Source organism: Homo sapiens, chromosome 8 (genome assembly GCF_000001405.40).
Source record: "Homo sapiens chromosome 8, GRCh38.p14 Primary Assembly".
Classification (NCBI taxonomy): Eukaryota; Metazoa; Chordata; class Mammalia; order Primates; family Hominidae; genus Homo; species Homo sapiens.
The window spans coordinates 109,539,391-109,565,996 of NC_000008.11; the positions used below are offsets into that span (position 1 = coordinate 109,539,391).

At 35.3% G+C, this 26,606-nt stretch overlaps 2 protein-coding genes across 4 annotated transcripts, besides 2 other annotated features; both read left to right on the plus strand.

Annotated features, from left to right (window-relative positions):
- Nucleotides 182-731: a silencer, noted in NCBI's record as "silent region_19470". NCBI's record gives its function as "represses an Ori minimal core promoter by ATAC-STARR-seq in GM12878 lymphoblastoid cells {active_cell/tissue: GM12878}" and the evidence as "EXISTENCE:reporter gene assay evidence [ECO:0000049][PMID:35858748]".
- Nucleotides 312-26,606, plus strand: EBAG9 (estrogen receptor binding site associated antigen 9). 3 transcript variants are annotated; one of them, NM_198120.3, is made up of 7 exons: nucleotides 312-529; nucleotides 11,420-11,517; nucleotides 14,475-14,553; nucleotides 15,339-15,497; nucleotides 17,545-17,652; nucleotides 21,448-21,539; nucleotides 25,049-26,606. In NM_198120.3, exons 2-7 carry the CDS (start codon nucleotides 11,435-11,437, stop codon nucleotides 25,167-25,169), a joined length of 642 nt encoding a protein of 213 aa, NP_936056.1. In that variant the 5' UTR covers nucleotides 312-529; nucleotides 11,420-11,434; the 3' UTR covers nucleotides 25,170-26,606. The 3 variants fall into 3 exon arrangements, with proteins under 3 accessions (NP_936056.1, NP_001265867.1, NP_004206.1); NM_001278938.2 differs by lacking the exon at nucleotides 312-529 and adding an exon at nucleotides 783-1,335; NM_004215.5 differs by lacking the exon at nucleotides 312-529 and adding an exon at nucleotides 783-1,071.
- On the plus strand, nucleotides 336-410 carry EBAG9UORF (uncharacterized EBAG9uORF). The gene has a single exon (NM_001436381.1). The coding sequence runs from the start codon at nucleotides 336-338 to the stop codon at nucleotides 408-410; it is 75 nt and encodes a 24-aa protein (NP_001423310.1).
- Nucleotides 792-1,151: an enhancer, noted in NCBI's record as "active region_27810". NCBI's record gives its function as "activates an Ori minimal core promoter by ATAC-STARR-seq in GM12878 lymphoblastoid cells {active_cell/tissue: GM12878}" and the evidence as "EXISTENCE:reporter gene assay evidence [ECO:0000049][PMID:35858748]".

Below are 26,606 nucleotides of genomic sequence, written 5' to 3' on the forward strand. Positions count from 1 at the left end.
TTTGCTGGAGGGGAGGCACTCTGCATAGAAGGAAAGTAGGGACATCTGGCAGAAGCAGGCGCTCCGAGAATAAACAGTCAAAGCAGCTCGCAATAGTCCCAAAAAGCTACCCCTCACCGAACCTGGCGTGCCTGTCGCCGCTTGCCCCGCTCCCAGGGCTCATTGGCTCCCAGTCTCGACGTCAGACCCGTAGCCTCTCACCTATTGGGCCAGCCAGGACCTGAGGCGGAGTGCAGAAGCGAGGGCCTGGAGACAGCCGAGAGCCGCCTTCAAGGAGGGCTGGGGGCGGGGCTAGAGGAGGGGCTGGGGGCGGGTTTCCCGATGAAGGGGCGGCCATGGCAGCTGCGCAGAGGCAACGCAGGCTGCTACGGAGCGCGCGCCCGGCTTTGAATGAGCGGGGCTGGGAGTGAGCGGGCGGAGCGCGAGCTCGAGGAAGAGACAGGCAGCGCGCGTGAGCGCGCCTTGTGTGCGCGCGCGGCCCGCGGCAGCTCGGAGCCTCCGCCGGGCGGGCGGGGAGGGGGAGGGGCAGGTGAGTGTGTGCGGTTCGCGCGTGCCTGGGAGGGGCTTTCCTCTCCCTACCCCCATCCCGACCCCAGCCCTAGCCTCTGGGGCATTGTCTGCCCTTCGCCGTCGGCCCTCCGCCTAGCCGCGCACTTCCCGCCCTCCCACCTTCCTTTCGCCCTTCCACCAGACCTCCCTCGACGCCCGACAGCTGCTCTGGGTACTGTTTCCGGGTCAGGGTGACCTCTGGGGTGAGGAAACTGCGACTGGGAGCGGGACCCAGGCGTGCAGCATTCGCCATGCTCCGCTCACGCGTGGGAGACTGGGCTGTGGGGTACCGGCCCGGAAAGCACGCAGCCTCCAAAGCCGCCTTCCTCAGGGAAATTTGCGTGACCTTACTGCCCTCCGTCTACAGGCCTTGTACCTCTCCAGGCCGATTTTTCCACAATTTAAATCTCAGTTCACCTGGTATCCAGCTCCAGCAACTTAGAGCGTTTCACGTCACGCCGGGCGCCAGGCGTCGGCTTGTATAACCTGAAAACGCTCCTGTTTTTCTCATCTGTGCAGTGGGTATGATTTTTTTTTCATCAACAAATTTCACGTGGGTAATCTGAAATGAAACCACTTAAGTTATGAAACTCTTTCCTTTTGAGTTATTCTGGAGACCTTACTCCGCCTTCGGAACCGCCCCAGTGGTGTCACATACTTGAGGGCCTGACTCTCGGTTGCCAGACATGGCACAGAATGTTCGATTTTACTACCAGCTCTCACACTCCGCTTCTGTTTCCCCTTCTCTTACGGGCCGCTGCTCAAACCTTTATTTATCAAATTTAAGTGAGTTCAGGTAAATTTTATTTTGGGAGCTTTGTAATATTTTCTAACCCACTTCAGAGAGTTATAGTTTGAGGATATTCTGGACTGTACTAGATCATATGGTTTTCAAATTTTGGTATGAAAAGATTCGTAAATAGAGTTTTAGAAATACAGCACCTGTTTAGTATGTACCGAACATAGATTTTGGCTTTGCTTGTTTTGTGAATTGTGATGTATTGAGGCTACTTGAAAGGACCTCTAGCAGTTTACCGAGAATTTCAACAAGAAAAGATATAATACATTTGATCTATCAGTTTCTAATGTAGCATTCTTTTTTTAATTGTATTTTTTTTCCGTTAACATGGCAGAGCTCTCATTCTTGATTTCCTAGAGTTGTCATTTCTTCAAAAAGCCTTAATGAGGATACATTGCCTCATAGTTTTGAATCTCATTCTGATATACCTCAAATTTTTGTCTTTGTAATTTTTAAGGAAATTTAATGTTAAGATTAGATTATATTAACATTGTTCCGTTCTAGAAAGTGTTTTAAAGCAACTAAAGTGTAAAGTAGCGTAAGATACTTATCAAATTGGTGATCTAGAGGGCATTTCAAAAATCGCACTGAGGCAATGTGCACACAATTAAAAGGTTTCTTAAGTAGGATATGATGTAGGGAGAGCCTTGGGCTTTCGGGTCAGTCCCTTTAAATCCTGGGTAAGTGAATCTAAGTCTGTCAACCTCATCTATTAAACGGGAGTAGTGAAAAACCTACCTCTTTTGGTTGTCCTTAGGATTCCAGTGAGGTGATCGAACATTGTCTTGAGCGTTCAAGTGCTCAAGGAATGTTAGTTTCCTTCCATTCAACAAATATTTGAGTACCTACTATGTGCCCGGCTTTGACTGAGACCTATAAATACCAGAATGAGCAAGACTGATGGACGTCCTGCCTCCTTAGTTTCTTGCATTCCTCAGGGATAAGTTTATGGGCAAGCTCATGACAACTGGGAGTGAACGCAGAGTTTCCCCATGCGGAGTTGGTAGTATTTCCCAGCTTCCAAATCCAAAGTAGCGACTGAAACATAGTAGGTGCTAATATATATTCATTTAGATGAATAGGGACATTAAGTAAATACAGGTCTCAAAGGATATTCCTGCCTGCCAGTCAGTGTGATTGATAAAATCAAAGTGTGGCTTGATCGCATTTTCCCTATTTTAGTGCAACTGGTTGGAAAATTTATCTTGGAAGTGGTAGTATCACTGAATTATTAAGAATGTTCCTTGTTCATGAGATGTTCTTGGCTTTTGAATTAAATATACCTAGGTTTGAATGGAGTCACTGGATGTGCTTACTCTGTGTTTAATTCAATGAAACAAGGACAATAGTATCTATGTCATAAGATGGCTTTTTGAGTTGTGTGTTAACATTTTGATAGTGCATGGTTCATAGTAGACAGTCAATGAGTATCAGTTCTCCTCTTTTATTAATCACAAAAGGAAGTTTTCTGCAGAATGAGGATATTCTTGATTGCTAGGGAGAGAATTCTATTCTGTAATCACTAAAAGACCCAGTTTCTATTTTTTATTGGGAAAAAAAAAACAACCTTTAAATTTTACCTCCAGTTAGCATTGAAGTTATTCAAGTTGGCAAATATTTATAAAACAATGACACTAACAATATTTGGAAAGGTGATGGCTGTGGTTACTAGGGCAGTTTATGAAATTTATTCTCAACTTTTATTCATGTATATCCTAAAACTGACAGTCCCAAATGGTAAATATCATTTTTCTTCACAACATACTGATAGAGTATCTCCTTGATTCTATTTCCTTCCCTGCCAAGTACCACACGTTCTGTAGTCTCTTTTCTGGCTCTTTTTTCTTATAATTTTTCAGAAAATTTAGGCTAATTTTCATTTGAGAAAGTTTTCTTTTGATTGAGAGTTTTGTTCTTGACAAATCAGCTTTAAATGAAGTGATTGTTCACCATCATAATTTTTCAGATCATTCTACTCATAATGAAGCAATCAAACTTTTTTTTCAAGTCTTACTTTGCAAATGGTAACTGAAGGTACCAAATGAATAAAATACTCTAGAGAAGGGTTGTACAGGGCAAAGTAAGGTATAGAAATAACCATAATACAAAATAAAAAATGTTGTTTCTTGGGAAGAGTAAAATACTAGAATTAAGAAGACTTTACAGTACTCCAGCAAGAGGTAGTAAAGGCTTATGCTAGATAGATTACAGTGGAAATAGGAAAGAATATGGGCAGTACTGGGAAATTGAATAGGGTCTTTTTGGCAATTAGGTGTAAGGAGAAAGAAAGGAGGAGTCAGCATTGTTGCATGATTTGAACTTGAGTAAACCACTGGTTGGGATGTTTTTGACAGAAGTATTTAAATAACTCGAGTACAATTTTTAATATTCTGGTTCTTTTTTTTTTTTTTTTTTTTTTTTTTTTTTTAACAGTCACTGTTCTTTTCATCCTGTCAATTAGTAGGCCACTTCCAGGTTAGGCATTCAGTAAATCTTTCAGCTTATATGGAGAGACAGCCTCCATATGTACAAAACTACTTGAGTATTGCTAAGGTAACATTTTAGAGCCCTGTCTTTGTACCTTAATAGCCTACAAGCCCCTTCTGACCCTAGAAATAGAAAAGACTAGTGTGCGTTTTGCCTTTCCTTAGAAGAAATTGGCAATGATGCCTTTACAGAGCAATCAAGATCAGATACTATGAGAGTTAAGTATGTTTTTCTGGCTTTCTGATTTTGTTTTGTTCTTATTTTTTATGTGTTTGTTTGGAACTTTCGTATTGAGGTATAGCATACAAACAGTACATACAGTCAAGTATGTGGTGTTACTACTCAGATTGAGATATTAGATCTTAGCTCTCTAATGCTTCAGTATACCCTATCAGAGATGACCATTTTTTTTTACTATATAATTTTTAACCTATTCAATGTAATATTTTATTAGGTAAAAAGCTGCTTTTTTCAAGACTTTAGGAGTCTTGAATCCCCATGAAATGCATTTTTAAAAAGCATGGGCTGGGCATGGTAGCTCACACCTGTAATCCCAGCACTTTGGGAGGCTGAGGCAGGCAGATCACTTGAGGCCAGGAGTTCGAGACCAGCCTAGCCAACATGGCGAAACCCCGTCTCTAGTAAAAATACAAAAATTAGCGGGTGTGGTGGCATGTGCCAGTAGTCTCAGATTTGGGGGTGGCTGAGGCACGAGAATAACTTGAACCCAGGAGACAGAGGTTGCAGTGAGCCAAGATTGTACTGCTACACTCCAGCCTGGGTGACACAGCAAGACTCTATCTCAATTAAAAAAAAAAAAAAAAAAAAGTATGTTATAGTACAGGGATGGTGTATTTATCCAGGATGATTTTACTCCTTATGTTTCTAAATGTTATTGCTTATCTTATGCTCATGTAAGGTAATTAAAAAACTAATTAACATTTCAATTTTAAAAAGGTATATAGCTGTCCCTTTAATGTGGTCACATGATAATTATTACTTAAGTTAGGTTTTATCCGCTTTTAAGTAAGTATGTGTAGAACTGAAGTCCAAATATACTGCTTGTGCTTTTTTATTCTGGGAAAAAAAACTATCAAATTACTGTATGTTTTTTCTTTTTGTTTTAAGAAGTCAGCACTCTAAATAATTGTATTAATCAAGTGTTGTGATTGTTTCTAAAGGTGTTACTAATGGATTGAGAGGCCAGTCTGTTTTAGTTGTGATTTTGTTATTACCTGGTTGTTTCACCTTGAGCAGAACCGTTAACTTCAGTGTATCTTAGTTTCCTCATTTAGAAAATTTAAGAAGTTGGATGACGTATTCTCCAGCTGTTCCAATGACAGGAATCATGATTCTGAATACATAGTAATTCTCCTCCTTTGACAAAGAGAAGGCAAGGAAAAGCTAAGACATGAGATTCCATTATCAGTAATGTTATTCCTGTAAGTGTGTGCACATATGCACACACATATGTATGTTTGCCTGTGTATTTCTTGTGACTTGATTTAACATGTGGTCTGTTCTACCTCTCAACAGTGGAAAAATGACTATCTCTAATGGATTAACAGATTTTTTTCCCTCTTTCGTGTGTATTTTGAGGCTCTTAGTCGGGACATTGTCATAGTTACTTAAGTTTTCAACTTTAACTTGTGCCAAAACTCATCTTAAGAAATTTTTAAAATTAAATAGTGATTATTAGGGTAAATATATGCAGTACATATATAGTATACAATATATGCAATACATATATAGTATAGGTGACTAAGATGTATAAGAAAAATTTGGAAATTAAGAACCATGTTTAAAAAGGATACAGACCGGGCGTGGTGGCCCACACCTGTAATTTCAGCACTTTGGGAGGCTGAGGGGGTGGATCACTTGAGGTCAAGAGCTCGAGATTAGCCTGGCCAACATGCTGAAACCCTGTCTGTACTAAAAATACAAAAATTAACCTGGTGTGGTGGCAGGCACCTGTGGTCCCAGCTACTCAGGAGGCTGAGACAGGAGAATTGCTTGAACCCGGGAAGCGGAAGTTGCGGTGAGCTGAGATTGCACCATGGCACTCCAGCCTGGGCAACAGAGCGAGACTGTGTCTCAAAAAAAAAAAAAAAAAAAAAGGCTACCAAAATAATGCCAGTTTTACCTTTTTTTTTTTTGAAATGGAGTCTCACTGTGTTGCCCAGGCTGGAGTGCAGTCATGTGATCTCAGCTCACCGCAACCTCCGCCTCCCAGGGTTCAAGTGATTGTCGTGCCTCAGCCTCCTGAGTAGCTGGAACTACAGGCATGTGCCACCGCACCTGGCTAATTTTTGTATTATTAGTAGACGCGGGATTTCACCATATTGGCCAGGCTGGTCTCGAACTCCTGACCTCGTGATCTGCCCGCCTCAGCCTCCCAAAGCGCTGGGACTACAGACGTGAGCCACCGCGCCCAGCATAGTTTTATCATTTTTAGAATCTTTATTCCTATCATTGCTATGGCTGTAGTTTTCAATTCCTATATCATCTCTTTCATAAAGACATATATCTTGTTATTTAATCATAGGGAGGCAGTATGAGTGTGATATTTAAGGACTGAGACACTACAACCAGACTCTTTGGGTTCAAATTCCAGTTCTATAACTTATCAGTTCTGTATCTTTGGCAGCTTACTTAACCCCGCTGTGCCTTAGTTTTCTTATCTGAAGTAGAGACAAAATAGTACTTGCTTCAAGTCCTTCCCAGGGTTGTTGTGAGCATTGAATGAGTATTACATGTTAATCACTAAGAAGAATGCTTTTTATGAAATATAAAGTAAGCTATTACAGTATATTGAAATGCTATTGTGAAATCAGATTTCTGTTTTTAGAGAAGTTCTGAAATAATGTTTCTTTTCACTAATTGTCCTAGTTTCCTAATGGAAGTTGGCTTTCTAGAAAGTAACAAATAATTGATACAAGATTATGATGGTGTTAATGAGTTTTTAAAACAGTATTCTAACCAGAATATGAACACTGTTCTAATTTAAGTGACATAATATTGTTCAAAAATGTCTTCGTGTAGATTGTTTTAACAGCTCTTTTGAGCTCTAATTGAAATGCAATAAACTGTATATAATTAAAGTATACAATTTGATTAGTTTTGATGAATATATATACACTCACCTATGAAACCACCACAACTGAAGCCGTAAGTATATCCATTACCTCCAAAAGTTTCGTCATGTCTGTCAGTGATCCTTCCTTCCCACTTCTCCCTGCCTCATTACAAGGCACTGCTGATATTTTCTGTCACTCTATATTTGTTTATAATTTCTCGAGCAACCTTGTCCAGTCTGCTGCCTGTGGGCCTCATATAGCCCAGGATGGCTTTGACTGCAGCCCAATGCAAATTAGTAAACTTTCTTAAAACATTATGAGATTTTTTTGCAATTTTTTTAGGCTTATCAGCTCTGGTTAGTGTTAGTGTATTTTATGTGTGGCCCAAGATAATTCTTTTTCCAGTGTGGCCCAGGGAAGCCAAAAGATTGGACACCCCTGTTCTAGAGCTTAAAAAATACTATATATGGAATCATACAGTGTATATTTTTTTGGTGGTCTGACTCTTTTCATTCAGTATAATTATTCTGAGATATAGTCATGCTATTACTTGTAACAATAGTTCATTCCTTTTTATTGCTGAGTAGTAAGTAGTCTGTTGTATTTATATACTACAATTTGTTTGTCCACTCACCTGTTGATATACATTTGTGTTGTTTCCAGTTTGGAGCTATTAAATAAAAATAAAGCTGCAATTCAAATACAAGTCTTTTATTTATTTATTTATTTCAATTTTTTTTTTGAGACGGAGTCCTGCTCTGTCACCAGGCTGAAGTGCAGTAGCTCAATCTCAGCTCACTGCAACCTCCGCATCCTGCATTCAAGCTATTCTCCTGCCTCAGCCTTCAAATACAAGTCTTTATATGGCTATATACTTTTCTTTATCTTGGGTAGATTACTAGGAGTAGAATGGCTGGGTCATATGGTAGATGTTTGTTAAACTTTGTAAGAAACTACCAAATTGTTTTTCAAAGTGGTTGTACATTTTACTTTCCCACCACCAAAGTGTGAGCGTGCCAGTTGTTCCAAATCCTCACCAGTACTTGCTATGGTCATTATGTTTAGTTTGAATCATCCCAGTAGGTATGTAATAATTTCTCACTGTGGCTTTAATTTGCATTTTTCTAATGATTAAAGATGTTGACTATCATTTAATCTACTTATTTACCATTGTATATGTTCTTTTTTTTTTTTTCGAGATGGAGTCTCACTCTGTTGCCCAGGCTGGAGTGCAGTGGCGTGATCTCGGCTTACTTCAAGCTCTGCCTTTCAGGTTCACGCCATTCTCCTGCCTCAGCCTCCTGAGTAGCTGGGACTACAGGTGCCCGCGACCATGCCCGGCTAATTTTTTGTATTTTTAGTAGAGACAGGGTTTCACCGTGTTGGCCAGGATGGTCTTGATCTCCTGACCTCGTGATCCGCCCGCCTCGGCCTCCCAAAGTGCTGGGATTACAGGTGTGAGCCACCACGCCTGGCCTTGTATATGTTTTTTGATGAAATGTCTAGTTAGACCTTTTGCTCGTTTTTAAATTGAGTTTTTAAAAATTATTTTTGAATTTTGAGAGGTTCTTATATATTCTGGGTTTAAGTCCCTTATTAGACATATGCTTTGCAAGGATTTTTCTCTCAGTCTGTGATTTGTCTTTTCATTCCATTAATAGTGTTTTTGAATTGTAGTTTTTAATTTTGATAAAATCCAATTTACTAATCTTTTATTTTATGGATTGTGCTTTTGTTGTACTACCTAAAAATCTTTGCCTAACCCAGGGTCACAAAGTTGTGTTGTTTTTTTTTCTTGCAAATTTTGTAGTTTCAGACTACATTTAGGTCTATAATCTATTTTTAATTACTTTTAACTGGTGCCAGATATATATAGAAGGTTTTTGTTTTGATTTTTTCCATATGGATATGGATATCCAGTTTAACCAGCACTTTTTTTTTCTTAATAACTATTCTTTTCTCTCTGAATTACCTTTGCATCTTTATCAGATTTCAGTTTTTGTATATACGTGGGTCTATTCCTTTACTTTCCATTGATCTATTCGTGTATTTTGATTCCAATACTACACAGTTTTGATTACTGAAGCTTTATAACAAGTCTTGAAACCAGATAGTGCTAGCTGTTTTACCTTGTTCTTTTTCAATGTTGTTTTGGCTGTTATATACGTTCTTTGCATTTCCATATGAACTTTAGAAATTAGCTTGTCAAGTTTTAAAGAAAAAACCTGCCCAGATTTTGGTTGAGATTGCCTGGAATCTATAACTCATTTTGGGAAATGTTGATATCTTAATAAAAATATTCTGTCTCTGAAAAAGTCTTTTTAAATTAATAGGCCTTTTAACTGTCTCAGCAATATTTGATAGTTTTCAGTAGTCAAGTCCTTAATTAGATTTGTCCTCAAGTATCATTTTTTTATGCCTATATAAATTTTTTTAACGTTTCAATTTCTTATTGATTGTTGTTAACGTATAGAAATACAATTAATGGTAGATCCCGTTGAATTTTCCACATAGAATATCACACTTTTATTTCTGCCTTTCCATTCTGGATGCCTTTTATTTCTTTTCTATTTTTTTCTTTTTTCTTTTTTTTTTTTTTTTTGCTGGATTGCATTGGCCAGAACTTCCACTACGATGTTGACTAAAAGTAGAAAAAGCAGACATGCTTGTGTTGTTCATGATCTTAGGGAGAAATTATCAAATTTTTTTACCATTAAGTCTCATATTACTGTAGGTTTTTCATAGATGTTTTTGATCAGGTTGAGAAAGTTCCCTTATACTTTGCTGCAATTTTTTTTTTTAACAGGAATGGATGTTGAGTTTTGTCAAAGGCTTTTTCTGTCTCTATTGAGATGTTTATATGGTTTTTTGTTTTTAGTTTGCTAATATAGTGAATGACATTTGATTTTTAAATGTTAAACCAATCCAACATTTCCAAACTAAGCACCAGTTTTTCACAATGTAGTATCCATTTATATATTGTTGGATTTAATTTACTAATATTTGGCTAAGGAGATTTGTGTCTAGATTCATAGAATATTAATAGTTTTCTTTTCTAGTAATATCTTTGGATTAGTATCAGTGTAATACTGGCCTCAAATAATGAGTTGGGGAAATATTCCTTCTTCAGTTTTTTGGCAGTTTGTATAGAATTGGTATTATTCCTTCCTAAGTGTTTTGTAGAATTTACCAGTGAAGCCATCTGTGTCTGGGAGATTTTTATAACTACAAATATAATTTCTTTAATAGATATATAGATTTTCAGGTTGTTCTTCTTATGCTTTAGTAATTTGTGTCTTTCAGGGAAGTTGTCCATTTCATCTCACTTGTCAAGTAAATACAGGCACAAAGGTGTTTGTAATAGTTCTTCAGTATCCTTTTAATATCTGCAGACTCTAACAATGTTATCTGTCTTGTTTATGATATTGGCAAAAGTCTGTTATTAAGGACACGTGTTTTAGATTGTTATGTACTTTTTATTAATTGACCCCTTTATCACTGTGAAATGACCACTTTTATACCTGGTAATGTTATTTTTCCTATAATCTGTCTAACATTGAAATAGTCACTTCACCTTTCTTTTGATTAGTGCTAGCATAGTATATTTTCTCCTATCCTTTTACTTTTAACCTATTTGTGTCTTTTTATTTAAAATGCATTTCTCATTGGCAACATGGAGTGGGGCGGTCTTTCTTTCTTATTCAATCTAACAATCTCTGCTTTTCAATTGGAATGCTATACAATTTGCATTTAATGAGATTATTGATATGGTTAGATTTACGTCTGTCATCTTATTTGTTTTTGGCTTGTCCCATGTGTTATTTGTTCTCTTTTCTTTGTTTCCTGCTGCCTTTTCAATTGAGTAGTTTTTATCTCCCTGCTTGTCTTATTGGTTATGACCAGTCCTTGCCCCTCAGAATATATGATTTAATGGACTTACTAGAGGTACTCCTAGGTATTGGCATTTCTTTAATAGATTCCCAGATTTGTGAACCACTGGACTAAATGAGCTCCATGGTAACTTTCAATTTACTAGCTATGTGACTTTGGTCAAGTTATTTGACCTCTCTTAATTCAATTTCCTCATCTATAAAATGGATATAAGGAAATATATTCATCTGCAAGTTAAAAATATTTAAAGTATTTTAAATAGTATTATGTTCATGTGGTTCAAACTTTAAAAGGTACACAGAGATTTAATATATTCTATTTTATACTTTTTTATTTTTTGAATTGTAGATTTTTGTATTAATAGATTTAGGTAAAATTATTTTCAAAAACTCAGAATGAAGGGTTTTATCCTTACAACCATTGAAAACTCGAAAACCTGGTTTTTGACTTGTTAATATGATTTAAATTATAATTTTAAAATTTACTGTGTTATAGTTTCTAGAGAAAGGTAAAAAATATCTTAGATTTTTCTTAGTGCATAATAGGTCTTTTCAGGACAGGAGTATGACTTTTGAAATCAATTTAATGCATTTTTTGTTTTGTGCCTCTTCCACAGGTTTTGATTCCCACCATGGCCATCACCCAGTTTCGGTTATTTAAATTTTGTACCTGCCTAGCAACAGTATTCTCATTCCTAAAGAGATTAATATGCAGGTAAATAAGTTTTATGTTCAAACTAACCTGTTTATCTCCTCGCTGGTTTTGGATACCTTCAAAACTTCAAATTTCGTGGACAGGACAGGTTATATTTAAGCTGAATATCTTGATTGCAGTATTTATTCATTAATTCCTAGTCATTTTTAGATACTTTTTCTCTACTTCAGATCTAGAAAATAGAGGTTCAGTTGTTTTGTTCATTCAAATTCTTACACTTTCCACTAAAATAACATGCTTAATACTATTTAGGAATAGACAGACCAACTTTCATTATTATAATCATCACAGAACTTTGATGTATTCGTTTCATTATGGGAATGTTTTAAAGTGGTTAGGTGAAATTCGGAATAGGTATTTCTGTCTATACTACAATAGTGTTGTTTTTATATTTAAAAAAAAATCCTAAGAAAAATCCTAAAAAAAAAAAATTTTTTTTTCTGTTTGAGTAACATTCTAGAATATGCAGGAAGTCAAGAGCAGGTAAGTCATTTGCTTTAGGACATCATCTGTAGACTTCAGTTCCTTCTGTTTTGTCACACGATCATACCCAAGAGCTATGATGTCTAAAATGTGTGCTGAGGCACCTCAGGGCTTTACATGAAATTCACAGGGATGCCATAGAATATTTTAAATTTTGCAGTGAAACATAGTGATAGCATCTGTTGAATACCTCAACTCAAAGTAGTTCACATTTGCAACATTAAATCCTGCAGTATTTTTTTATGATGGTGTTCTTTAATGTTTGAGATAAGTTTTTGTTTACTTATATTTTTGGTGACATCTCATTGCAAAGCCAGGATTTTAGGTTGTAATTAAAAGCGAGTACTGCACCAAAATTAATGTAGAACTGAAAACAAGAATGATGGTCTCCAGTCTTATTCTAAGGCATAAGAAGCTGTGCAGTGTTCAACAGGCACACAAATTTCATTAATAAGTTCAGTGATTGTGGTTATTTAAGAATAAAATAAAAATATTACTTTTTCTTTAAATGTGTATTTTTTACAATGGCTACTAAGCAGTTAGGATATACTTAAGTTTTTTGGGTGTAACTACCTTATTCAGTGGAATTGTTAGGTGTTTCTGTGGCCTAAGGGTACTGTGAAAAAGTTACTTACATACTAAGAGGAGGGTATAGTAAAAGAGGAAATGGACAGCAATCAGCTCTTTTTTTAATATATATAGACATGACTTAGAGGTTACACACAACAATTTTTGCACTGCCTGCTTTCCAGAGCTTAGTCATATGGCCCCCTAGCTGCAAGGAAGGATAGGAACTGCAGTCTCTGGCTATATGACCATTTGATAGCTGCTAAATTGAACTTATTGCTAAAAGTAGAGTGGTCTGGGATTTAAAAAAAAAAAAAAAATCCAGGGTATTGCAAGAGAACAAGTGGGTGAAATGATCATCTCTGGATGATCACTGGGGCAGAAGTGAAGAAAGAAATGGAAAATTTAGGTGGTTGACTTGAAATCACCCAAGAGGATAGGATTTGGGAAGTAGAAAAAGGAGCAAACTAAGTGTTCAAATTACCAGAGAATGAGGAAGAGAATGGCCAGAAATTCACCAGGTAAAGCAACATTAAAAATGGGTATTAATTGCCAGAAGGCAGGAAGTTAAAAGAAGCATTGTGTTAACAGTGGTGATGAAATGTAGATGTTTTCTTCTTATACTTCTATTTTTTAAAATTTTCATTAAATATAGATTACTTCTAGGATAAGAAATTTTCTTGATGTAAAAATATTAAGGACATTCCTATTGGCACTATAAATTTCTGTTGTAAATGTATACATATTTAGAATTGATTGTATGTTCAGTTTTAAAGAAAACTGACCATATGTTAGGATAAGCTTCTCTTTGGTGTCTGAAGGAACCTTAGACCATGTATTTTAAAATACCAGACTTGGCTAGGCATGGTAGCTCATGCCTGTAATCCCAATGCTTTGGGAGGCCGAGGGGGTAGGATAGCTTGAGGCCAGGAGTTCAAGACCAGCCTGGGCAACACAGCAGGACCCCATCTCTATGGAAAGGAAAAACACGCTTGTATCATAAATTTCATAAAGGACTATATTACTTTTCTATTCACCCTTTAAACAAATATAGCTTTGAATCTGTAATAAAAATAGCTGACTTTATCGTTCTTAGTTCTTAGTTGATGCTTTTTTTTTTTATAGATTATTTGAAGTGAAGTAAATGACTAATTATCTCTATTACCTGCCATTTTTTGTATGTTGTGCTATGTAGCAGGCACACACTGTCTAGGGTTTTTAAATATGTCACTTAATTAAATCCAAACAACCCTGCAAAAGTGGGTTTGAATACCTGCATTTTATAGATGAGGCTGTTGAGGCTGAAAAGTAGGTAATTCTAACTAGACATAATAGAAGTAACATTGAAAACTGTGGTTTACACAGATTCCACAGCCCATGTTCTTAACAACTGAGTTATAGTACGTCCTGTTGAATGTGGTACTTTTCCTACTAATCCTTAAAAGTAAGTTACCATTTGGTTCAAACTAGTGATTTTTAAACTTCTTAATAGTTAATCTTATCAAGAAACCCCATGTGTAAAACATAAAAGCCAAGCCACCCTGTTTAAAACAGCAAAGGTGGCCCAGAACTTCACCCACAGAACCCACAGCACTCCAAGGAGCATGCTCTGAAACCGTCTTGCATTTTTATTTTTGACTTTATATTCCTCTTGAGTTTGTTTATAATTCTGAGTCCTAAGCCAAAAAGCAGTTATGTTGTTCTGTCCAAGATTTAAAAAACATTCACAGGATGTCTGATTTATGACTTTTTTTTACCATAAATTAGTGAGTAACTGTTACTAAAATCAATAATCATAAAATTGAGAAAGATCTTGTTTTATAAGCCTTCAATTACCATACATAATAGTGCTTTTACTTTGCTTGTTTTGGTGGTTCTTGAAATAAATTATTTCATTTTTGTTTCAGATCTGGCAGAGGACGGAAATTAAGTGGAGACCAAATAACTTTGCCAACTACAGTTGATTATTCATCAGTTCCTAAGCAGGTAGGTTTTTTTTGTGTGTTCTTTTGTTTTGTTTTGTTTTGAAAGATTGAATAAGTGTCCTAGAACAATATTTTAAAAACTGGATTGCAGATCATTAATAGAAATTAATTTTTGTTGTGTTGTTAAATTTATCTGGTCTGAAAATTCTATTTGGTTCTACATTTTATCTTCTGTTTCTTTGTTGACATTTTCTATTGTGTTTTCATTGGTTTCAAGTGTTTGCTATTGTTTGTTGGAGCATTTTTATAATAGCTATTTTAAAGCCTTAGAGAATTCCAACATATCATTTTGGTGTTGGTATCTGTTGATTAACTTGCCTTGCAAATTTAGATGTATTGTTTTTATATGCTGAATAATTCTGGGTTGTTTCATGAACATTTTGAATACTATGTTTTGAGACTTCATCTTATTTAAATCCTGTGGAGAAGCTTGGTATTTTTTATCAGATGATCAATCTGGATAGGCTTGGGTGAAAATGTCCAGCCCTTCTGTGAGTTGTAGTTTTAATGTCAGTTCAGTTTTCAGAGCATTTGCTTTCGTTTTACTTTGTTTTTTGTTTTTTGATGGACATAATAGAATAAAATAGAACAGAATATATCAGAATGTCTTGTATTTTTTGAACTTTTGATCAAGTTTTGATCTGTGATATGAAATGTATGTTTTCCCGTGGGTTAAAAAAGTTTGAAAACCAGTGTTTTAGAAAGCCCATTTTTCTAATAAATCATCAATGATGTGTTCATTAAGTTGCCCCTTTGTGGCTGATAATGTTGATCAATTAAATTTAGACAGATGTTGAAGAGTGGACTTCCTGGGATGAAGATGCACCCACCAGTGTAAAGATCGAAGGAGGGAATGGGAATGTGGCAACACAACAAAATTCTTTGGAACAACTGGAACCTGACTATTTTAAGGACATGACACCAACTATTAGGAAAACTCAGAAAGTATGTTAAGATTTATGCTTTTGGAGATTAAACTACTTTTTAGATTCCTATAGTTAAAATTAGGTGATACAATTCACATTTATTAGAAAGCCTATTTCTTTTTTTTTTTTTAATACTTTAAGTTTTAGGGTACATGTGCACAACATGCAGGTTAGTTACATATGTATACATGTGCCATGTTGGTGTGCTGCACCCATCAACTCGTCATTTAACATTAGGTATGTCCCTAATGCTATCCCTCCCCTCTCCCCCAACCCCACAACAGGCCCCAGTGTATGATGTTCCCCTTCCTATGTCCATGTGTTCTCATTGTTCAGTTCCCACCTATGAGTGACAACATGCAGTGTTTGGTTTTTTGTCCTTGCGATAGTTTGCTGAGAATGATGGTTTCCATCTTCATCCATGTCCCTATGGAGGACATGAACTCATCCTTTTTTATGGCTGCATAGTATTCTATGGTGTATATGTGCCACATTTTCTTAATCCAGTCTATCAGCATATTTCTAATTATCAGTTGTTTGTTTTCTGTCATGTTAAGTAAGAATTTTATATGTTCAAATGACCTAGACATAGTTCTAGTAAGTTGTACCCCAAGTCTTTTAAAATTATATTTATATATGTATCGAAATCCTACTATATGTCAGATTCTAGACTCCAGTCTCTGCCATGGAGACTAAGGTGAATTGGATAAGAGTTCTAACAAGTTTGTACTTCAGTAATATCTACAAACTGATAGGTAGAGTTTATTGTTTGTAACCATTATAAAACTGATGCAGGACTCTAAGAACTTAAGAGTAATTGTGAGTTTGTGTTAGTCATCCATACATTATTTAATCCCTTTTGAATTGAATATGGAAGATCATTTAGAGATGCAGGGAATTACTGGAAAAAACAGAATGCTTGAGTATTTTCGTTTTTATTTATCAAAATAGTACATGTACTTTTTTTAAATCAAAAACTGTAGAAGAACTTATAATGAAAAGTGAGACTTCTGACCCATCACTCTTAGCCAGTTCTTCCAAGAAACAGCCACTCAATAATTTTCTGTTTGGATTTCTTCAAGTGTTTGTCATCGTATCTATCTATATGGTTATATTGCCATTTCTTGTTTACCAGTAACAGACATTGTCCACTGACATTCATACTATGGTAAATGAAGATTTATTTCTTACTACCATTCCCTCTCCTTTATTCCAGTCTACCTCACTAATCACTCTGCTATATCAGAAAAACACACTTAAAGTTCACTTTCTTATTCAAACATAGAAAATATTTTTATCATATATATATATAAACACACACACATACACACTTCATAAAAATTAGGACATTATTTCACATTTTCTAATACAGTTGTTCCTCACCTTCTTTCTCTCAGCTGATTTCAGCTATACATTTATATTTACATTGTCTAGGTTGATAACATTTACATTCTTTGTTGTTGAGTTGTCCAAATGTCTCAATGCTAAAACACATTAAATTGTGTATTTTTAAAGGATCCTTTAAGTGAGTTTCTTAATAGATGAATACCTTGCATTGTGGAAGTATACTGCTGCTCTCAGTAGGAACCTAGTATATTGCTATAGTGCCTTATTAAATTAGTTAGAATGGAAATGCTTTAAATGAGGCTACCAACATATCATATAAGTGTATTTTGATGCTACTGGCCTGAATGAGTTAATGTATTCATAGGTATCTCACATGCTGAGAGAGTTGTTAATACTATTGGCAGGATATGATACCTGTTGTTATTTAATACAGTAACTAAAAGTGATTGATTATATTTTGAGGTCTGGGGAAAGTAGGATAGAAAGAAAGAAAATGGGCCTGTATTAATTTTTAAAAGTGAAATACAATTTTTCTTAGTATGTAACTGATTTGTACAACAATTCCCTGGGAAATTGGTATTTACAGACTTTTTTTTTAGTTTTTACATTATAAATTTTAAGAAGAAATATTTTAAGTAATTAGAAAATGTTTTGGTTGTCTATTTTTATGTAGTGATTTGTAAAAGATCCCTATAATTCTTTTTCAATTAATCTTTCAGATTGTTATTAAGAAGAGAGAACCATTGAATTTTGGCATCCCAGATGGGAGCACAGGTTTCTCTAGTAGATTAGCAGCTACACAAGATCTGCCTTTTATTCATCAGTCTGTAAGTATGTTAATGGTTCTAGGGAAGGGTTTTGTTGTATTTCTGTTTTCTTTAAAGCAGAGGAATAAAATCTAAATGAGTTTAACATAGTATTTATATTTTTGTAACTTTGAAACAGGTTTAGCAGTTTGATAGAAGTTAATCTGGAGTTTTACCAATCCTAACCTTTTATGAGATTGTAAATTACCTTAGATACTAAGATCAAGGTCTCATTGTACACATGAAAGATAGAGATACAATGTTATTTAAAAATATAAACATCAGAGAGATTACCATTAAAATGAGAGATTAACCCTAATGGTAGATTATTTTAAAGTGAGTTATGAATTGTTTTCTTCATAGAGTGTATTTTCATTCAAAGTATGACTTAATTTTAAACGGTTTGACTTAAATGAAACTTTTTAAAGGAAAAATTTATGAAACAAGTAGACAGCTGAGGTTCTCAACCTTGGGAGCATATCAGAATCAGCTTTGGAGGTTTTTTAAAAGCACAAATGTCCAGACCCCTCCCTACCTAAGCTTTAAGCATGCTTTGATTGATTGATTATATTATCTGTTGTTGTGTAACAACTCCAAATTCAGTGACTTAAAATAATTACAAATATTAATGTAACACAGTTTCTGTGGATTGGGAATCCAGGTGACTAAACTGGGTGGTTCTAACTCAGAATTTCTCATGAGTTTGCAGACAAGTCATTGGGTTGGGGCTACAATCATCTGAAGGCTTGATTGTGGTCGAAGGATTCATTTCAAAGACAGCTCACTTCTACACCTGACAAATTAATGCTATTTGTTTGCACAAAGCCTCAGTTCCTTGCTGTGCACCTCTCCAAGGAGCTGCTTGAATTTCTTTATGATGTAACTCCTGATTTTCCCAGTAAGTTATAAGACGGTGAGAGCACTTGCTCATGGGTGAGGGTGACACCACAATGCCTTTTTGTGATGTGGTTTTATAAGTGATACACTGTCACTTCCATGTTATTTCATTAGAAGCCACTAAATCCAGCCCACATGCAAGCCTCCACCTCTTGAAGGAAGGAATGTCAAAGAATTTGTGGACATATTTTTAAATTACATCTGTCTGTCAATCTATGTATTTTATTTGTTTGTTTAAACTGCACAGTTGCTTCTGAGGTCCCTCTTCCCAGGGGACCCATGTATATGTATGTTTTTAATTCATTGAGTAAAAACACTGTTTTTACTAAAGCCAGGCCCTGTGGCATTAAAGGGTCTTTGCCTCAGAAAAATGCATTCTAGTAGGGGAGACATGATATTAAATGAATGATCACACACGTCAATATAATTACAAACTTTGATAATTCCTATGCAGTTACACGATGCTATGAACACATAACACCATAAATACTTAGCTGAATAACATAGCATTATAATGTTTTTTATTTTATATATCTCAAAATTAAATTTTATTCATAAATGTTTGATCCATATTGGTGAAATGCTTTAATCCCACCCACTGAATTAGCAATATTTGCCACCTAAATATAATTATAATACTATCATAGCTCATTGTAAAGTTTTAAATATACAACTACTTACAGAGTTGAGAAGGGGTAAATAGGGTAGATGGAGAATGTCTCCACTGCTATTTCCACGTATTTTCCTCCCAAGCAGACAGAATAAAGGGGCATTGCATAGGAGAGGATGGTAACCTATTGGACTTTGTTTTCTATACCAAAAATATCTTACCATTCATTCTACAAATTAGATTCTTCTTTTAAACTACACATTTTATTCTTTTCTAGAATTCATCATTCGTATTGTTGTGAGAGTTCTTTTATACCAAAGATAAATGTCATGTTTTATACTTTTTTAGTTTGTTAATTGGTTTGGATATTTTTGTTGGGCAGGTGTATTTAGTTTTTATGTAGACAAATCTATCAATGGTTTCCCCCTTTTCCTTTTTACTAAGGCCATCTCTACTAAAGGATCAGATACCACCCTTTTTAATGGTCTCTATAGTTTTACTTTTTAAAAAAAATCTAAATATTTTATGTACTCTAACAGTCAAATACTTTAGTGGAAGAATAGATAATATGAATGGGAAATTTACAAATAAGAAATAGACATAACCTAATTTGAAGAAAAGCTTGATCTTATTAGTGCTCAAAGTAGGCCCAGTGAGGTGTTACATGCCTGTAATCTCAGCACTTTGGGAGGCCAAGGCGGGCAGGTCACTTGAGCTCAGGAATTCGAGACCAGCCTAGGCAACATGGCGAAATCCCCCCTCTACAAAAATTAAAAAGTTAGCTGGGTGTGGTGGTGCGTGCCTGTAGTCCTCGCTACTTGGGAGGGACTGGGGTAAGAGGATTGCTTGAACCCAAGAGGTCGAGGCTGCCGTGAGCTGTGATCACACCACTACACTCCAGCCTAGGTGACAGAGTGAGACCTTGTCTCAAACAAAACAAAGTAAAATAACAAGATACAATTTTAAATCTTGTCAAATTAGTAAAGATAGAAAAGAAAGCCAGCCGAGTGCAGTGGCTCACACTTGTAATCCCAGCAATTTGGGAAATTGAGGCAGGAGGATCACTTGAGTTCAGGAGTTCAAGACCAACCTGAGCAACATAGCTAGACCTCATCTCTAAAAAAATGTAAAAAACAATCAGCCAGGTGTGGTGGCATGTGCCTATAGTCCCAGCTACTAGGGCAGCCGAGGTGGGAGGATCCCTTGAGCCCGGGAGTTTGAAGCTGCAGTGAACCATGATCACACCATGCACTCCAGCCTGGGCAACAAAGTGAAACGCTGATTCCTAAAAAAAAAAAGGGAGAAGAAAAGGCAGGATTTCTACCTACTGCGGTCAAGAGGATAACTTGGTACTTTTCAAGGCTGTCATTTGCACTTTGTTTCAGTAGCTTTAAAAATCCTCCTTTCAGAAATGTATATTAAATAATTAGAAATATTTTAAGAATTTTTAACAGAGTATGGTATTACATATATTCTCAGGAGAAGAAAACTCAAAACATTCTATTTCATTTTTAGGGGTAAGTATTTAAAACAATATGATATTAAATAAATGTGTTCACAGATTGGTACCAGTTATTTTACACACAGTCACTTCCACACCTACCTAAACAGTCCAGCATGACCATTTTCATTGGTTATTGAAAGAAAACAGTGAACTTTTAGAGGTCTGGCTTGGGAAATAGAGGTAGGGACCAGTAGATGATACCAGGTAAGAAAGACTGGGAAAAGGAAGCATGACCTAGAAGTATTTCATTAAAGATAAATTTTGCATGATTTGTCATTTTTGCCTAGGATTGAGACAGTAAGTGCCAATAAAAAATCTCCAGTAAGTTACATATGCTTAAATGAAGAATGACTGTGCTAGTTTTTGAACTTCAGCTCGCAGTTCTTCTCAGCACAGATTAGTCCAGTCAAGGATTTCTAATTCAGTCTGGGATCAGTCAGTTTCTTGTCACTCTATCCCCAGCTCCCTCATCTTACTGAGGAGAGAAAGAAACAAAAGACATGTTCTGTTCTTGTTCCTTCCAAAATAAAGTACAGCAAAGAAGAGAATTTAAGAGAGTATCCCATGAAACATAAAGAAGAAAGCTGGCCTTGCCTAGGACTGTTGAACACTGAAAGTCATACATCAGTTCTAGGCAAGCCAAAAGCAAAATCATCTGTGCCTTGTATAGGACAGGGTAAGGAAGCTGAGAAGACATAGGAGAATGACAGGTTCTGAGTTATGTGTTAAAAGATACTCTTTTTAACGGCTATGTGGAGAAAGGATGGCTTTTACTCTCTTAATTTTGTTTTACTTTTCATTGTAGTCTGAATTAGGTGACTTAGATACCTGGCAGGAAAATACCAATGCATGGGAAGAAGAAGAAGATGCAGCCTGGCAAGCAGAAGAAGTTCTGAGGTATTTGAGTGGCATTTATATTGCAACCTGAGTAGAAGAACTAGATTTCTTCCCTGCTGTGTTTCAAGTCAAGGGAGCCTATTTTGCCAAATATTATATTTTTCTTCATTTGATCCTTAGATAATAAGGACTTTTTTTTTTGTATTTCAGACTGCAGATACTATTTTATATGATTAAAACCTCACAGAAACCAAGAATTTTAAGCTCTATAGGAACAAAATAACTTTATTAATGGCAAATGGAGTGTTATATATACATGTATATAAAAGGTTTTATATATATGTTTTATATATATATATATAAGGTTATATGCATATACATACCATATTACAAGCTTGATATTCCTCTAGGTCAGAAGTTACAACTTTATTTCCATTTCCTCATGATCTAGCATAGTGCCCAGTACTGCTCATTTGAGTGAAAATAACTTATGTGACACTCTACATTTGTACATATATCTTAAATGATGTCCATGAAAGCCCTATGTGTTAGATGAACTACCCATTCTGCAAAAAAATACTATTCTGGAAGTTTTAAAGTTCATTTTTATTGGTTGTTCTTTTTTGTGTGTGAGCAGCAAACATATTTCTTAGTACTGCTACATTAGGTCAAAGAGTAAAGAGAAAATTTATCTTAAGGGAGAGCTAGTGACTGATTACTGCTTTTTAAAAGTCAGATATTTAAATGCATCTAAAGAATTCATACATTTTTTAAATTGTGTAGTAAGATACAGCAATATAAATTTTTTTATTTTAAAATTGAGATTGTTTTTACCATAGGAATAGCAGACAAATTATTCTTTATCTGACTCAACAAAAAAACTGATTTCATTTTTGTATTTTCCTTTCTTGGCTTTGTCAATAAATTACAGTTACTGTGAACAACCAGCAGAGGGTGCAGCTAAATAACTGGGAATTTTGTTTGAAGTTTTTGTTTTTTTCCTTTGAAATATATCAAGCCCTTTTTTTTTTTTTTTTTTTGCAGGTTAGGGGACGTCACATTTCAAAATTCAGTCAGTAAAATTGTGAGAGTTTTTAAAATTTAGTTCTTATTTAATCAGTATAGCTTATCTTTTATAAAGGGAATATTTTTTAAATTGTGAACTATAACACTTAGGATATTGCATGGATCATCAAAAAAGATAAATCATCTCTTTAAAATTCTGTGTTATTTTAAAAAACAAATAATAGATACAGATGTCTGAGTATTTTAAGACATTTTGGGGATTCTAGTAATTATTAGTGCCATTAACCACAAAGACAAAGGAAGGGGTCTGTCCTTTTTAAATACAGTAATCTCACTGTAGAGTTCAAGCCATGAGTTCACAAGTATCTTAATATTGTACAAAAACCTTTTCTTTTTCATTCTAGCCTCTTAACCCCTAAGCAAAACAAATGAAAAAATGTACTTAAAAACTTAATGTTTTACCCTTTAAGGACAGCTTGGGAGAGTGAGATTGTTAATCCGTAATAGACATGCTTCATGCCGCAAGTACATAGGTAGAGCCAAAGAGAAATGGAGGTGTCAGTACATTGTTACTGCCCCTGAATAGACATTGAGCATTTTAAAAGTGTATCCACATTCCGTATTGTCTAACTCTGAGCTTTTTTCCTGTTGCCACTATAAATAATGCCAGTACTGTGATCAGTATTGCTAAGAATGAAGATTCTGGTACTTTAATAATTCCCAGCATGAATCTGGATAGGTAAAATGTATTTTTGTCTGCAGCTATCTCGTAAGTTGTCTCTTTTATACTTTAGTTTTTGATACAGATTGGGTATCCCTTTCCAAAATGCTTGGGACCAGAAGTGTTTCAGATTTTGAAATTTTTGAGAGTTTAGAATATTTGTGTTCTGCTGCTAGTTCATCATCCCAAATATGAAAATCTAAAATCTGAAATGCTCCAATGAGAATTTCCTTTGAGCATCAGGTAGGCCCTCAGAAAGTTTCAGATTTTGGAGCATTTCAGATTTCGGATTTTTGTATTTGGGATGCTCAGCCCTTATATTATTTCAGCTAGTAACCAGGTCAAAACTTCGTTATCTTACTTGTTTATAACCTAGCCAGCCCTTTATAATTTTTTCTCTACCTCCCTTTTTTCTTCTGGTTTGACATTTTTAGTTCAGATTATTAGTTTTTATTGAACATCAGCAGAGTGATGAAAAACAGATTTTTTAAAACTATTCTTCAGAAATTGATAGCAAAAGTCAAAATGTTGCCAAAAATAGTTTCTTTACTTTCTTGAATTTTGGTCATCCATAACTCTGCCTACTCCTGTTTATGACTGAGAACTGTACATACATTTCACTCACTGTAGTTAATATTGAGCTCCCCCAGACATAGATAATCCACTTTGGATTTTTCTGCATATAACCTAATGTTGCCTATTCCATGCCCAATTGTGACCTGTAGCTTCCTTCCTCAACGTTGCATACTTGAATGATTTTCTCACACCCTAACCCTTCAGATCCAGGACCAATGTATGTTTACTCTGCTCTCTCCTGTTTCATCATCCCACTCCTACCTCCACTCCCTACATTAACCAATCAGTAAAGATAGAGAGAGTGAGTCTGGGTCAGTGGAGTTACGGAAAGAGTAAGGAACAGGTATGTATTTCACAAAGTATGATTAGTAAATACCTACCACTCTTTTTTTTTTTTTTTTAAACTTAAGTTCAGGGGGACATGTGCAGGATGTGCAGGTTTGTTACACAGGTAAACATGTGTCAAGGGGGTTTGTCGTACAGATATTTCATCAGCCAGGTATTAAACCTAGTATCCATTAGTTATTTTTCCTGATCCTCTCCCTCCGTCTAACCTCAGCCTTTCCGGTAGGCCCCAGTATGCATTGTTCTCCTCTATGTGTTCATGTGTTCTCATCATTTAGCGCCCACTTATAAGTGAGAACATGCAGTATTTGATTAAATACCCACCACTCTTCTCTTTGGTAGAGTTAGTCACATGTTAATCCTGAAATTTACTTGGTGGAAGGTGTATCTTAAGTTTCCATTTTCTTTTTGGAGCGTGTGTTCTGTTCAGCTGTGTTCATCATGCACTTTAAAAACTGGCTGTTTGTAACTACTATAATAACAGGAGATTATCAAGCTCAATATCAAGCTTTTCTGAATGGTATCCCCAGAAAAAGATGTGGTTCAATGGAAGTATTGTTTTACAAAATGGAGATAATCTAAATAAGAAGTGTCAGAAGATGTGAGTTCTTATCCCTGTACTTAATCCTATGACTTCGGGCAAGTCACTTAGCCTTTATGCCTCATTTTACTTATTTGTAAAATAGAGATAATATTTCTTCTATTTCACAAGTCACGTTCTAAGGACTAAGAGAAATCCTGTTTTTGAAAATATTTGGAATTTTCAAATTAGTGAGAAAATTTTAAGACTTTCAACATTTTATTTGGTGATAATAAAAAGGCACTGCTATTTCTTTCTAGAATTTATTTGCCATTTTACCTGTTTGGTATTTTCTAAAAGTAAAAGTATGTTTCTTTTCAGACAGCAGAAACTAGCAGACAGAGAAAAGAGAGCAGCCGAACAACAAAGGAAGAAAATGGAAAAGGAAGCACAACGGCTAATGAAGAAGGAACAAAACAAAATTGGTGTGAAACTTTCATAACACATGTTCAAATTTTATCATGCCAGTAGGAGAAATCTCAGCTCCACAACCCAAGCAACATTTGTATGGATTTAAGAGTATTTTAAGAAGACATACTGCTTGATTTTAATACATTGATCAGGCCATCCAGGACACCACGATTCTCCCAAAGTACCTTGAACTCTTAGTGATTGAGACTCAAAAAAACAAAAAAGACTTGAGACAATGTTTTCTTCAACATGCTCCAAATATAAGACATTTGTTTGCTGTACAGAAAGTATCACAAATGGAATATATCAGTACCTCTCAAGCTAGTGTTTCTAGCTAAATAAATGGGTGTATATAATTTTATGGTGGAAAAGAACTGTACTGTCTGTTATGATTTCCTTCAATGTGCATAATGATAAAATAAATAATTTTAATATTCTTTTGTTTCCATGGTTACCTGACCTAAATTAGATAAATTGTAGGGCTTTAGCTTTCTTATTTTTGTCAAAAGTTGGTGTTGACATACATTCCCTCTAATTTGAACTGGTATTGTTTACGTTTGATACAACATTAAGGAATTTGATGATTTTCATTTCATGAAAATGACATTAAATGCAATAATTTTACTTATCATAAACATTTTGTACATCATTATTTTCTTTTGGATTAGTGTTGTCATACATGTAATTTATATCACATGTATAAACATTGAAAATCAACTAAAATGACATTTGTTCTACATTATAACTTGTGAGTTTCAAGAACTAGTATTAGTAGTTTTTTCCTTTCATTATAGATTGTAAGATGTTGTGGTATCTTTGAGTGCCTTAGTTCTTCCTTCCTCCCAAAAGCCATTAATTTACAAATGCTTAAAGCCATCAGGTCAAATATTTCAAAGCCTTTAGATGATTTCTGTACTAGCTTTAGATGTCTGACGTTATGTAGGTTACCTGTGTTCTTGGCTAGGAAAACATTATTGATTCATTAAATCATAAAGGTGGGAATAATAATCTTTTATTTATGATGTTGATTGGCTCCAAAATAGTCTTAAGGAAATAAATACTGGGTCTGTAGGGGAAAAGTAGACTTCATAGTTTAAAATCCCATTAACCTTTTCACCGCAGTTGAAATGCATCCAGCCTGATTTTCCTATCATTTTGGAATTTTTAAGGATTTTTACTTTCTTAAGTTACTGCCTAGAATCAACATTCGGTGAGATTTTGAAATGTCATAGATACTGTACAGGCCAAACCTTACTAATTTATTTTACTTAAAGTGATATTTTATAGAAAAATCATAAGTTATACAATGAGAACCCTTTAAGCCCTTAGCCTAAGCTTTCAGACTAAATGTGATTATAGAATAAGATGAAAGTTAACTTTGGTACAGAGCTTTTTATAGCCCCAAATTATATTTCCAGTTATTATATTCATTAGAATTTCTGCTAATAAACTCCCAACTTAAATAGAA